The sequence below is a fragment of the Homo sapiens genome, chromosome 8, assembly GCF_000001405.40.
Source record: "Homo sapiens chromosome 8, GRCh38.p14 Primary Assembly".
In the NCBI taxonomy this organism is placed as follows: Eukaryota; Metazoa; Chordata; class Mammalia; order Primates; family Hominidae; genus Homo; species Homo sapiens.
The window spans coordinates 6,537,021-6,552,492 of NC_000008.11; the positions used below are offsets into that span (position 1 = coordinate 6,537,021).

A 15,472-nucleotide genomic window follows, 5' to 3' on the forward strand; every position below is an offset into this window, starting at 1 on the left:
GCAGCACCAAACTCCACTTGCCTTTGGAGAATGTTTCCCATCCCTGTCATCTGCACCGAACTGCTCTCATCAAAACAGTTCCAAGATACTTGAACCTCCCGTGGGAGGGGACCCGGCTCTTTCCAATTTCACATGCATAGCATGTGAAACATATTCATGTTTCGCAGGAATGTTTGCCATCGCCTTCATATCTGAAGAGGATTATTCCATGAGCGTGATCTGTAGGCACACGTGTCTGAATAGGTCCTGCTGTATATGTGTGCGAGGACAGTGTGTGTTTATTTTGTCCTCTTCTTGATGGTTGACACAGTCGGCAAAGTGTGGGGCCTTGGGCTGTTCTTCCTTTCTCAGAACTCAAGTGAGTTATGCAAGTTTAACATTGAGGGCCACAGTGATCCTTCTAGCTGCATGGTTTGCTGCTTAGTGTTATTTGATTTGCTAAAAGAGTTGCGCCCCAGACATAGTCTTTAAAACTTGGCAGCGCATCGAAACTCAAGCAACCAGGATGAAATATTTTAATGCAACATATATATATATATATGTTTACATTAATATATATATATTTTAGTGCAAAATATGTTCTGAAGTTTTTTATTACTCCCACAACGTTTTGAATGATCAAATTTGACAGGAAAAATAGGTCCATTTGTGAGGCAACTATGGCAGATTGATTACACATTTAAAAGTTTATCTGGCTATCTTCCTTCTCACCAAGATTGTCATCATTATTTTTTATACCAAAAGAAAAGTAATCTTGAAACTGGCTCAGTAAAGGAAAACATAGATAATATATGAAAACTATCCCCAACTTGGAGATTCTGATGTTGATTTCTCACCAACTGTAGATGCTGGTTGAGAGATCCTTTCTATTTAAATAAAATTCAAGGTCCTTAGACCTTTTTACTAATTAGTTTTTGTCCATCTGAGTGACCTAAGGTGGACAAAAACTAATTAATCAGAGGGTCTAAAGACCTTGAATTTTCTGGTAAATTAACAAATAATTTGAGATTTCCTTGGAAACTTTTTACTGTTGCCCATTTCAATTTCGAAATAGGATTTTGCAACCATCTCTCACACACACATACACGTTTTTCTATCCCAATGATCCATCCATCTTCCCACCCAGCCCTTCCATTTTTCTAGTAAACCCTTGAATTTTTCTAGTAAATTCACAAATAATTTGAGATTTCCTTGGAAACATTTTACTGTTGCCCACTTCTATTTAGAAATAAGATATTGCAACCATCTGTCTTACACACACACATACACGTTTTCTACCCCCCATGATCCCATCTTCCCGCCCAGGGTCCACTGTCCTCTCTGTCTCTTGCTGGCCACGCATCCCCCAGCTGCTCTCCTTTCATCCCGCTGTCAGAGTCAGGAATCCACATGCAAAGCTGGTGACCGCAGCTCACTTTCTTCCCTTGCAGGTTTGCCTGAGGATAAGGTCCAGATTCCTTCTTTTTAAGACACACACCGCCTCCTGACTGGCGCCCCTGATCTTGTGGGCCTCAGACCTGGGCGCGCACTGTCCTTGGCTGTCCCAGCTGCCCAGCGGCCTCATACCACGGCCGCCTTTGTATCTCCTCCTTGAGTCTTCTCTTCCTCCTCAGGTCCCACCATCCCCCATTGCATGCCCTAAGCAAAGATACTCGTTTTGTGTTTCCTTTTGATATCAAAACCATTTTGTATTTGTGTCATTTCATTTTAAATCTCCACAGACAATAGGTTAATGTTCTTGCTTGCTTGGTGAAGAGTGAACAGAATCCTCAAACTCTGCAACCATTCTACATATACACCCTAGTAACAACAAGCAAAACATCCACTCTTAGAATTAGTTTGAAAACTTGAGTGTAAGATTATTAAATCCAGGGATATTCTATTTGGGAGGCTTTTGACCTAATGTTCTTGGTTCCCTGTCATGAGGAAACTCTGAAACATCATTTGAGGTCTCCAGACAGAAAAGTGGCAAAACTGGGCTCTCCTCCCCCTCCTTTTAGAGTTGGGCTTGTGTGTGTGTGTGTGTGTGTTTATTCTGGAGATTTTGCTGCCTAAGCAGCTGTGTACTCAGCAGTACTTCATGGCAGAGGCTGAGCCTAAAGAGGGAAGGGCTGGGAGATGCGGATTTTGGGCAGCACTTTGTCCTCCTAAACCCCTCGCCAGAGCCTGGGGGGTAGGCACAGTACCCACAGTGAGAGGTGATGTTCACATGCCCTGTGACGTGGGAAGCAAGTTTTCTCCATATATTGATGCCAGATTTGAATTTCTAGAACCTAGAAAAGCCCATGCCAAAGCTACTTGCCATCTGTTGACTGTTTTTATAGTCTTGGCCTTTTCTTCACGTTCAGTGTAAGGCCCTAGAAGTTGAGGCAAAAGCTAAAGGCCGAGGGAGGGAAGCCTGGCCTCTGGTGCCAATTTCCTAGTGGGTATTGTGACTTCTCTTAGGGAGCACACTTGCCTTCACCTGCCCTGACCACATGGACGCCTGCCCACATAGGGTCTTTTAAGCACTTCCTGAAATGGATCTGTTCTGATCTAGCCTTTTTGCTTTTTTCTAGTCATACTTTTTTATTGTCTTTTTTTTGAGATGGAGTCTCGCTCTGTCTCTCAGGCTGGAGTGCAGCGGCGTGATCTTGGCTCACTGCAACCTCTGCCTCCCTGGTTCAAACGATTCTCCCGCCTCAGCTTCCCAAGTAGCTGGGGTTACAGGCGCACACCACCATGCCTGGGAAATTTTTGTATTTTTAATAGAGATGGGGCTTCGCCATGTTGGTCAGGCTGGTCTGAAACTCCTGACATCAGGCCATCTGCCTGCCTTGGCCTCCCAAAGTGCTAGGATTACAGGTGTGAGCCACTGTGCCTGGCCATTTAATAATTTATGAGTGACTATCTGATACTGTATCTAGATAACCAACCCCTTTCCTACTTTCGCTAGTATAAGAGACTGAAAGTTCACTTTTGGCCACTATATAACTCCAAGATGTATTAGGAAATAAGTTTGTGGGCCTCAGCTGGTGGCATTCTAACATTAATAGTCCATGCCTCTCCTCCTGTGGATAGGTACACCCTACAGTAATTTGAGTGTACCAGAATGTCTGTGCTCTGGCAAATCCTATCCGCTTTGCTCTTCTTTGAGTGCAGCTGCATATTCTTTGCATTAATTTTTTTCACATATATTTGAATATATGTTTTTCCACATATATTCATATCATTTTACCTCTTTGTGTGTTTCCCTTACCACTACTCCAAAATTTGATAAGGAAATGTGCTTTTCCCTTCAAAATGTTCCATTTATTTTCTACTGATAAAGTGGCTATTTCTCATCAATAGCAGGCATTTTAAATATATGTAAGTTTAAGGAGACTGCTGTAGTAACCTCATGTAAATTTCTTTGGGCATTTCATATGCAAAAGGTGTCACATTTTACACGAGTGTCTTTTAGAGGTCTTGTAGGGCACATGTATATTTACCAGATGTCTGTGAGCGTGCAGCCTCATGGCACGTTATGCATACCTGACACTTGCACAGATTCCTGGAAGATGAGGAGCAAATACAGTGCAACAGACGTTGTCAGGCCACGTCTGCATATATAGATATATACACAGCAAGAATAGTTACAGCAGCTTACAATGACAAAATGCTTCTCAGTGTGTATGTGTGTGTACCTCTGTCTCACCAGATTCTCACACTGCCTTAGCTTGGGTTTCCCCAAAAGCAGAGCCTGAGACAAAGGCAGGCATGCAGGAAGTTTATTTAGGCAGTGGTCCCAGAGCGCAGCCATGCCGAACAGGCGCGGGAGGCAGGGGCGCCGCAGGGTGGTTCGCACACGTGGACTCAGGCGGCCACCGCCGCGCTGGCTGGTAAGAAGCCCCACAGGATCTCCCAAGGAGCCCTGGGACAGTGTCTCAGAACATCCACCTGGGGCAAGAATGGGGACTGCTGTCCCCAGGGGGCAGGTGGAGCCTAGTGGGCATTCATGACCCAGGTTTTGGAGCTGTGCTTGCGAGAGTGCCGAGGAGGCTCTCATGGGTGTCCCGAGGCAGCTTGGAGCCAACGTCCCTAGGCATGGCCTGGGGGTTTGTGGGAAGGCCTGAGGCAAGGCCTGTCTCTGAGATGTCCTGAAGAGCAAGTTGGGCCCAGAGGGTTAATTCCGAGCAGCACAAGAGGGTGAATTCTGAGCAGCACCAGAGGGTTTCCCTGACACAGCAGGGGATGCTTTGAGGCCCCTTTAATGAAGGAGAAAAATGAGGCTTAGAGAAAGTCAGTGCCCACCCCAAGTCTCATGGGCCCCAGGCTGTGGGCAGTGGCTAAAGACAGGCTAGTGGGTAACTCGGGGCCACGTGGAAGGGGAGCTTGTATTTATAGCCCCCAGTCAGCAGCGCTGGAGAGGAGAGGAGAGGAAAAGCAGTGCTCTGAGAAAGACAATATTTCTAGTAGATTGGGGCAGGGCAGGCCTGGAGACAGGAAACCAAAGCCAGGGTTGTCATGCAGGAGTGAGATGAGGTTGCAGCAGCAGAGCGAATGCGGAGACGCTCGGCAGGTCCTTGGTGGCCTCTGAGTTATTCTGCAGACTTCTGCCATTCGTCTATTTTTTGGGATACTTTGTTAAATTCTCAGCTTAGAAGATAGTAGTGATGTTTTCCCTACAGAGATAGAAGAAAATATAAAACTATTTTCTTTTTAAAACTGTACTGAATGTAGGGCCGGGCATAGTGGCTCACTCCTGTAATCCCAATACTTTAGGGGGCCAAGGTAGGAGGATCACTTGAGGTCAGCAGTTCAAGACCAGCCTAGGCAACATGGCGAGACTCCATCTCTACAGAAAATTTTTTTAAAAATTAGCTGGACATGGTGGCTCATGCCTGTGGTCCTAGCTACTCAGGAGGCTAAGGTGGGAGGATTGCTTGAGCCCAGGAGGTTGAGGCTGCAGTGAGCCGTGATCGTGCCACTGCACTCCAGCCTGGGTGACAGAATGAGACTCAATCTCAAAAAAAAAAAAAAAAAAGTACTGAATGATAAATGATTACAAATAGAAGCAGTTAAAATTTAGCTCTAGGAATGAGATTGATGCATTTAGGCTACAATATACCAGGAACTTCCTTTTTAAATGAAACTAGAGCGTTCTTGCCTTTCTGAATTTAAGGCACACTGAAAGAAAAAATAATAATAATGTAACAAAATGTCTCAGTGTTTTTCTATGCCAAATAGAATCTTATGTATATCTGTCTAGAGACATATATGCATACATTTGTCTACACATGTGAGGTAGGGGTGTGTGTGTGTGTGTGTGTATCTGTGTGTGTGTGTATGTATGTGTGTGTGTTTCAGTTCTCTAAGAAACAGACATTCCAAAACTTGTGTGTGTGTGTTTCAGTTCTCTAAGAAATAGACATTCCAAAGCTTGGTGGGCAATGGCGGGAGGCTTTAGACCCTGTAATATTGTCGGAGTGTCACTGTAAGAGGGACGCTAGCGCCTGGGTCACAGTGCTAGCTGGTAGCAGAGTACTAACTTAAACCCTGGTCTCCCAACACCCCATCCCGCACTCTCATCGCTGTACTGATATGCCTATTCTTATCTTAAAAAAAAAAAAGTGCTGTCTGAGGAGCATTAACATTCTTACTTTTTCATTTTTGAAATGAAGTATAAAGATACTGATGGCCTTTTACGTCTCCTCTCTGCCCTGTTTTTGCTGTCTCTTTCTGTGTTACATGGGTTTGCCAAAATACTGGGTGGAGCTCTGTGGAGGAGGTAGCATGATCATCTCTGAAGTGGGCAGTTTTTTTCTTTTTCCAATAAACTGAATTTACTTGGTCACAATGACTATCCTAAATGGCTAGAAAAGGGAAAAGGCTAGCGAAACTTAGATGATTTTCTAAATTTAGATAATTTTCTAGAAGACATTTTCCAGGCAAACTAGTTTTTGCTGTCCTTTATAAGGCCGGCAGGAAGCGTGTGTTGTTTCTGTTTTAAAAAGGGAGAGGAGCGGACTTGGGAATGCTGATGGGAATGCTTGAGAAATCTCACAGCAGGGCTGTGCGTGCCCTGCCGGGTCCCACTGCCTCTGGACAGAAACCCCCGCAACTCCACCCCCAGCCAAGACTTTCTGCTTCTTTATCTCCTCTTTCTGCTAGCACCCAAAAAGTTGAAAGAATTCCAATGGATAGAATTTTTGAGATAATATTGGAAGATGCTCAAAATACACAGGATTAATTTACACGAAGACTCAGCGGGAACACAAGCCATCTTCTGTACATGAAGATGCACTACTGACCCGCCGTCCGCAAATGTGTTTGTACAGTTACTTTCTCAGTATGGGTGATGGCTCTCCAACGAACTGCTCCTCGTCTCCTGCCTGGACACCCTTCTCTCTGTGCTTTCCTGGGTTAGAGTAAATGGATGCAAACACACATTTCCGTGCTCTGCAGCAACTTGAGACTCCTGTGAGCAAAACGCACTGACGGGCAATGTGCGTGGGTCGTGGGGAGCATCCAGCTCCCATCTGCGGAATAAACCCGCCCAAACCATAGGGAAAAGCGCTGTCGTATAAGGCCAGGGGATTTTCAGAAAAGAAATGTGTTCTTTCCTCTTTGATTTTTGTGTTCATAAAGCTGTAGGTGCAGCTTTTTTTAATGTAATGATTTCATAACCGCTGAAGTTCGTGCTTTTCTGAACTATTTAGGAAGATAATCTACCCCTTGTATTGGATGAGATGATCTGTCCCTTCGACCTCTGGTTCAGTTCCCATTCTCCCAAGTATTTAAAGCTGCGAGTTTTTTCATATTTTCATATTTATTTACATAATTTAAACCCCCTGTGTGCATGGACTTTAAGGAGCTGTACATCTGCCTGGGCTTTGCAGAAGCTGAAAGGGCGCAATCTTTTTATAACTCACATTAGAAACACAGATTATTTAACGGGGCTATGTTTTGCACCTTAATCTTTAAAGTTGCAATATATTTTAAGCATTTTAACCTTGTTTTAGATCTGATCAGCAGTAGAATGTTTTCAGATAAGAAACAATGGAGCAAAAGCAAAACAATATTCAATACCTAGATGATGTGGCAAGACAGAGAATAGTATAACTTTTTGTTTTCCAAACATAACTTTTATCTTCATCTCTTGATCTGAAATTTGGTAGGAAGTGTAACAAGTACGAATCAACATATTTACCATTTGCCATTTCAAATGTTGATAGTGAAGCTGGGACCTCTGTTTATTATGGAAGACCATAGAAAACCCCATAAACACGTTCTACTTCTGTCTGTGGCCAGCAGTCCAGCAAAAATGTTCTAAAAGCACATGCACTGTGTTCCGTGATGATTATAGTTTGACTGTGCTGGAAAGAGAGACTGTGAACTGCACATGGTGATTATGACTTTGGGCAAATCACTGAACTTGTAATTATGTCTTCCAAGACCTCCTAACCCAAAATAAGAGAGTATTTTACTACAAAATATATGTTACGTCAAACTGTTTTTTACAAAATACCAGCTCTAGGGATGTTTCCAAGTCATTTTCGGAGAGAGTTTGTCGAAGTTTTTTTCAGGGTGTGTCATTCATGTATTGGAGGGGGAGAGGGTTGAGTAAGAACCGACATGCACAACTTGGCCATGAAATGAAGCGCAAGCACATATTTTATTTCTATAGGATTCCTCATTCTAAAGTAATTTTTACAGAAAATGGCACTCTAAGAAGGAATTCATTAAGATAAAGACACAGATACAGCATTTAGAGTTACACTTTGCCATAAAAGAGCCTCCCTTACCTCCTGACTTGAATCTATAACATCTGCTGAACTGTCGACATCAGGAAGACTCGAAATATGTTTTGAGGCCAATTATGTCATTTCAGATTGAACCTGCTAACATCAGATTCTTTGGTCAGTAGTCTCACTAGTTTTGTTCTCACAATGGAATTATTATTTTGATTTTTAAATGTTGCTCCATGGAGACTGGTATGATGAGCTCATGCTCTGCAGTTCCATTTTAACAAATAACATAATAGATCGCTGTCAAATGAATGCCATCACAGACATCATGTTGGGTCACAGAAGCCACACCCTAGGAGTGCTTACTAGATGATCCATTTCCATGAAGCTCAAGAATGGACCGAACTTACTAAAGGTGATAGAAGTCAGAATAATGTCTTCCGGGTGGGAGGGGTTTGAGGCTGTGAACTGAGCAGTGGCACGAGGGAGCCTTCTGGAGTGCTGAAAATGTTTCCTAGATCTTGACCTCGGTGCTGGTTACATGAGTGAATCCATATTTTTAAAAGTTATCAAGCTGTAAATTTCAGGTTAGTATACTTTATCCATTTCCTGTGTTTTATATCTCAAAAATTCTTTTAAAAACTAAAAGACATTTAGAAATGAAATGTTTGACAAGTTTTGTTGTGACACTATGACCCTAGTTACTATGGGTGGTTTTATTTGTCTCTGCAGTTTTCATCTAGGAGCACCTAAATAATGCCTAATGAAATGAACTTTGGAAAAGTAATTTTAAAGTAACTATCTTAGAGAACTGTGGATTAAACCATTCCAGCCATCTGATGAGGGTTAAAATGTATATTCGTAATCTGACATTCCAAAACACGATTCTTTCCGGATCAAGCATAAAAGGCATTTGCTCTTGGAAGACCAAGAAAGAATTCATGTGGTTCCCATTAGTCTAAAAATAAATAATAAATAAATAAATGTCTGAGTCATGTATTGGATTTTGTTGGATTTCAGTGGCTTCAAGTATAGGAAGAAAATGATTTGTGCTATTAATAATAGTTCTACCCATTGCCCATTGGAATAAATACAAGATTACTCTGAGAAAAGTGAAATCGATTGAATTTAGTTCTGCTTTGAGCTACTGCAATGCAAGTGTTTCTGACTTTTGAGACATAGTATAAAAAACTGAATAAAATAACTTTGTTCATATTGAATTGAGTTGGGGAAGTAGCGATATTTGTGACATTGGAAGCCATTGTCATTACAGATTCATCATTACAGTACAGATTTGAGAATCAAACACACCCGGTGTGAGTCCCAGTTCAGTTCCTTAGGAACTACTGGCTCAATACTTTCTAACATCACATTTCTGGTTGGTAAAACAGGTATATAAATACCTACTGTGCTATGCTAGTGTGAAAATTAAGTGGAATGAGTTAGCACAATTCCCAAACTGTGTGCCAAGGCACCCTGGGTCCTTGCAGCAAACAAATTGGAGTAAGGGAGACAGTCTGAATATTCAAGGGCAACCCAGCAGTGTTCAATGACTGTCAGCCACTGGAAGAATTCATAGCTCAAAGCAGTTCACCGTTTCAACAGTATCAGCTTGTACCTCTGTAAAGCTAGGTTTTTGGTGGTTGCTGTTTGTGAAAAGCAAGTGCTACAGGAAAATTAGCATAGAGCGTAAAATGCAGGTGGCAGTGTCCAATTTGATTCCAAAGTTTGAGAAGCCAGGTGTGCCTAACTGGCAAATATATTCCATTCATACGTCACTGGGGTTACTTAAGAAAGAAAATAAAGGATCTTTTTTTAAAACTCAATTTATATGTATATTGGTATTTTCAAATAGCTACTAAATTGTCAGAACATAAATACTTAAATTATTTGGAGCTAACCGCTTAATACAAGCAACTGTTGGCCTAGAGATAAATAGAGAAAAAATAGTGAATCACTAAGGGTCCCATGAGCTGAGAAAGTTTGAGAACAACTAGCCTAGAAGCTTGCACTTGGTAGGATATAAACTCAACGTACCCTCTTCCTCCCCTTCCCCCAATCCAAGTATTGCCTTTAATTGTAATCTCTATGATTTGATATGTTTATCGGAAAGCGAGTAAGTCAAAAAGAACTAATAAATTGTGTAAGACCTTCATTAAGATGTACCCTTCCGTGTTTTCCTAACTTCTGAAATCACTAGGAAAAACAGCCATGTTCCTTGCAAGCTGGCTGGTTAGTCCTGTCTTCTTTCAGGTGAACAGCATTTATAACCACGGTGTACCTCGGAAGAAGCGTTCTCAGAGCAACATGCACGTGTTCCGTGTGTACCGTGGTTGCCTTCGGGCTAATGCGTTTTTGGAAGTGTAGATAGGTGCCAGTTTTACAAAACTCATGTGGCCTATTTCTGCTTGTAATTTATAGTTTGCCTCCTCACCATCCTCACTTGCTCTAAGGTGAACTAGTTTTATACCATTAGATTATACAGAAAAGTCAAATTTACTTGCATGCCACAGCAATTCGGGAAGTAAACTTTCAGTGTGATTCTCCAAATGCTTGTGGTAAAAGTACAGAGACTTGAATCATTTTCCCATAATTAGTTTCAGTTCTGGAGGTCCGCCCCCTCTCTTTAACCCTCTTGCCTTGCATATGTGTCTCTTGCAATGGAAGCTAGTGGAAATTTCCTCTCCCCTTTCACTCCACTGCCATAAGTTATAAAAAGCATGCCATTCAGAACTGACGTTTTCTTCTGCATGCTTGAATTTTTACTCAACAACTGGAAGGGGAAGAAGTTATTTCCAGAGATGTTTCTCTGTTTATCAAAGGGGCGCAGAGTCACAGTAGCACTTTGGACCACCGTAGAATGGCTGACTCACTTGCCTCATCAGTAGAGGGGCACATGTTCCTATCAAACAGTGAGTGCCTTTGAGTGACGGTGTGTGACACACAGCACAGCAGCACCATTTCTCAGAGCTGCAGCAACACTGGTTCACACAAGTCACTAGAGATTCCCATCTCCACTGACTCACTCGGTGGGAACAAAAGCTCCCATGCCGGTGGGAATGCGGGGCCAGGGGAGCACCGGAAGAAGGGAGCCGTGGCAGAGGTTTTCCTATTGTTAGGTTTGTTTGTTTGTTTCAGTGAGTCATCTTACCCCCATTTTTTTTTTTTTTTTTAACCAAAACTCACTGTGGTTACTTCTCTAGTTTGGGTTATGACTCCTACGAGCCAGTTTAATTTTATCAGTGGCAGTGAATTCTTGAACGCTTCCCTCAGTTGTAGAAATTTAGTTTCACATTTAAGTGGTCCAAGTGCCAGCTTAAACTTTGTGGTTTAGTGTCTTTACTGAATCCCCCCTAGCGGAAGAACCTACATTGGAGTTTTGGCTGCTCTTTGGGATTCAAATTATGAGTAGTTGGTTCCACTGGAATCTTGGCCTTCTCCTGGAGTGGCTTGAGGCGGCACGCTTTGACTTTAGAAGGCCAAAGTTAGAACCTACGTGAAGGCTTTGTCCAAAATGCCTTTCCTGCACCCTGGCATTTTCAGGTGGTGTGTGTAGACCTGACAGGACTCTACTCGTGCGTCACTTCCCAGCTGTTGGTCCCCTGCCACTTAGATGCCTTTCATGGGCAAGTCCATGCTAGCCTAGGAAATTTCCCGAAAATGGCAGTGATAACTCAGAATTAGGATTTTGATCCTCATCTCAACCATTATCCCCAGTGGTCGCTAGCTCTCCTCTGCCCAGCTCGAGGAAAATGCTGGGTTTTTCATTGCAGCTTACTTGCATTTCAGTGGTCCCAGCAAGCACTCAAGAGGAAAGATCAGACCAGCCAAACTTGCAAGGCAGGCTGATGAGCCAAGGTACAGAAAGTACACCTGATGGATTTTTGTAATGATGGCCGTAAGTCATAGAAGGTGAAGCTTAATGCAATTTAGAAAGATTTGAAAAAAGGAAGAAAAGTCCTCGTGCTCACAGAAGCAAGCTCCCATTGGCAAAATTATTGTGTATAACAAGCATCTCTCTCTGATGATGCTGGAAAAAAAGAAGGTGCTATCAGGGAGGGAGGGAAGATTTGAAAGACCAGAGTGAGCAGCAGATAGGCCCTTGGGTCCTTCCTTTTATTCCCACCCTCTTTTCCATTGGCTGTTGATAAAGTTTCATCACTTTTTAGCTGCCTGTTGTATTTCACTACCTCCTTGTTAACCTCTGGTTATAACCTGGGGGGAATTATGTTTAACCAGTACTTAATGAATCAATCTATTCCTCAAAAGTTGGTTCTGGGCATCACGGAATAAACACCAAGACCACTCAGCGTATTTTCTGCAGAGTGGATTTCATTAGAAGGCAGGTTAGTCTTGGAACTCAGTCAAAACAGCTTTCAGTCAGTCCAACTCCACAGATTTCAGAGATAGCAGTACAAGAAAAATGATACATGGGTTTGTACAGTTGAGTGTTGAAGTGTTGACTTCCATAAAAGAACACAAATGTCAATCTACAGCAGTACCATGGGTACGTAAATTGTGTTATACAGCGAAACACTGCACGGTGATGGAAAAGAAGAAACTTTAACATGCACAACAACATGGATCCATCACAGAAATAATAAAAGAGACCAAAAAGGAGTATGTACTGATTGTTCCAATTACATGACATTCAAAACCTAGCAAAATTAACCCATGGTGGGTGACAGAGCAGAGTCAGGATTGGCGTTGAGAAGAGGGGGATATTGACGAGGAGGGGCCTGAGGAAGCCACGTGCAGGGTGGGAAGCCTTCTGTATCTTGAGCTGGGCAGTCATTACACAGGTGCGCACATATATGGATGAGGAGGGGCGTGAGGGAGCCGCGTGCAGGGCGGGAAGCCTTCTGCATCTTGAGTTGGGCGGTCGTTACACAGGTGCGCACAGATACAGACAAAGAGGGGCGTGAGGGAGCTGCCTGCAGGGGAAGAAGCCTTCCGTATCGAGCTGGGCGGTCATTACACAGGTGCGCACAGATATGGATGAGGAGGGGCGTGAGGGAGCCACGTGCAGGGCAGCAAGTCCTCTATATCTTGAGCTGGGTGGTCATTGCACAGGTGCGCACAGATACAAAAATTTACCAAGTTGTACACTCAAGATTTGTGAATTTTATTCTGTGTAAGTTATATCTAAAAAAAGAAAAGAAAAGAAAAAGCTAGATTCCCTAAAACAGAGACAGCAGGGCTCGAGTCTGAGCTAGCTATAGCCATGCCAGCAGCTAGATCCATGAAAAGGTTGGGGTTGGCTTTGCCCAGGTGATCATTCGGGGACGGGGGACGTGCTGTGAATGGAAGATGTGCCTGCTGTCAGCACTGATGTTGCCCACCCTTTATTTCTACAACGCTGTCTTCAAAAGAATTACATTTCAATTTTATACCAACTATCGTGCCTCCTCATGAATCCCTTCCCCGCACAACCTGGAAACCCTCGCCTGGCGTCGGCTCCATCTCCAGATGTTACTCACTGGCTACCGCTAGGTGGCTGCGAAGGGTGGCGGCGTCACTGATGCGCAGCTCAGGCAGCAGCCATGGGGAGGTTGAATCCCCGGGGCATCTGCCTCTCCCTATGTGTGTGGGTCCTGGGAGTGAGGCAGTGTGGCGTGGGGCTGTTGCACACACCCCCGACTGTAGGGCTGCACCCAGACACGTGCGGTGACCCCGTCTCTACAGCCGCTTGTTGCCCTGGCACCAAGCCAACCACTCAGCATCCAGCGCGTCCTCACCTCCCCTCCGGGGTGAAGCGGAAACAAGGGTATGTGCCAAAACTGGCCTGCTCACCATTTCCCAGATTTTCCACATTTGTTCCCACTCGGGGTGAGGGGTGTGCTTCTGGTGTGACAGCTGTGGGCTGTGTAGGGTGGCGGGCGTTGGTGGTGAAGTCTGTCGGCCCTCCTGACCCACACACGAGGGGGTGTGGATTTTATATTGAAATCTTTTTAAAATCTGTTTTATTGTAAGAGGCTCTGAAAGGAAGAAATTTTATCAGAGTTTTGCGGCCTGTGTACGTTCTGATACCTCTCAGAGCTGGAGTTTCTTACCCATATAGGACAAGCTGTTGTGAAATTGAGTGAGACGATGTAAGCACATGGCGTGCACCTGATAAATGCCAGCTGCCACCACAGTGATGGTCAGCAGCGTGGTCACCACTGTCGTTTCACAATTACAGCCCAAGGAGCCCAAGGGGAAGGAGTGCCTCTCTCTGTTTTGACCTTCTCTGACTGCTGTCCTAATAAACAGTGTCCTTTCTACAAGAACCCTGTAGACTTTTGAAACCAACAAGTGAAGGCACTCCAAGGCCCTTGTTTTGAGAAGGGGTAAGTGTGCTAGGTAAGGGATTTCCTTGGGTGCTTACCTTCCACGGCTCCTGGGCCCCTGACTCGAAGCTGACCATCTGTGCTGATGCTGACTTAGGATTTTAAATCACTTAAATTTGAGCTGGATAGAGAAAGGGTCCTAGTTAAGCTGAGAGGGCTGCTTATTCGTGATTTTTTTTTTCTTCTTTCTCATGCAGAGACTGTTTATTTTAGTGGTAGCGGTATTTAGGGGTGAAGAAGGGGAAAGGAAGAATAGTGTGCCATCAATTAATTCTATGCATGTCAGCTGCAACGCCTTCATGGCACGGGACAGGCCAATTATGTAACTGTAAACAAATTATATGTATTAAAAGTTGTCCAATTAAAGGAAAAAACATGCATGGATTTATGTGTTTGTTATTACCCAGAAGGGAGCCATGCTGTACTTGAAAATATGCAAAATTTCACATCACAAAATCACCAGTTGTTGTTTGAGGGGCTGGTGTTCTGATTAGTCTTAATTTTTTTTAACTCATAACATTTTTGTCCCAGTCATCAACACTGTTAAGAACATGTCACTGGTGCAGTTAAGTTAAAAATGATTCAGGTCAGGAATTCCTGTCATTAACAATTTTTTATATTAAAGTTGGAAAAGTTTAAGGAAATTTAAGAACCTATTCCTTAATAGTTAAAAATAGTAAGGAATTTCATATACCCCCAAATATTAAGCATAGGTAATTAGCTTGTGGTTGGGATTTGATGGTTTTCTGTTTTTCAGCAAAATACAATAACGTACTTTCTCGAGCAGAATTTTTACACCAACATTTCCCATTAAGACCAGTTTGTTTAGGGAATTTTTAAGCTACATCTGTATGTAATAATTTTTTGAGATTCCAAAGACTACGCAGTCTAATAAAACTCTAATACTTCAACTATCTTCAGACTAATGTTTATAATTACCCGGTAGATGACCAAGAATTGATATCATCTGTTGATTCCAGAAATTATGGCAGAGAAAATGCTGTCAGGAACCCAAAGAAAATCAGAGGAAATGGTACCTCTAAGAAATTCTGAATCTTTTCTACTAAGATATGTGGCTTGACTGCTTAACCCCAAAATGCCTGCTTAGAAGGTAGTTTGGGGCTATCTTGTAATACTCATTTAGTTCCTGCCTTCTTCTGCCATAGAAACAACATGCAGAAGCAGCATTGCTTACGACTCACACTGAACCTGAAGGGATGAAATTACATATGACGATGGAATGTGGCCATATTCACGCAGTCACAGCAGTGTGTTGCCCAATGACAGTACTGGAGCAGTTTCCACAGAGGCACTCATGCAATATGCAGAATACAGACATTTTACACACACACTTACGATGGTCCTTTTCATTGTCGAAAAGGAATTCATTATCTTTCGAGTAAACATGTGCTTTGAGGTATATAACTCTGAGGT

General features: G+C 43.1%; 2 protein-coding genes across 19 annotated transcripts in view; one reads left to right on the plus strand and one right to left on the minus strand.

The window, feature by feature from the left end:
* Positions 1-15,472, plus strand: part of MCPH1 (microcephalin 1) — a 241,882-nt gene that overhangs the window by 130,394 nt on the left and 96,016 nt on the right. Inside the window, exon 13 of one of the 13 annotated variants that reach the window (NM_001410916.1) lies at positions 8,442-8,708. The exons of the other annotated variants lie outside the window; for them this stretch is intronic. Coding sequence (NP_001397845.1) covers positions 8,442-8,462 — 21 coding nt within the window. The 3' untranslated portion in view covers positions 8,463-8,708. Of the gene's footprint in view, positions 1-8,441; positions 8,709-15,472 lie in introns of those variants that run through there. 13 annotated transcript variants of the gene reach the window in all.
* Positions 1-15,472, minus strand: part of ANGPT2 (angiopoietin 2) — a 63,614-nt gene that overhangs the window by 37,389 nt on the left and 10,753 nt on the right. The window lies entirely within an intron of this gene.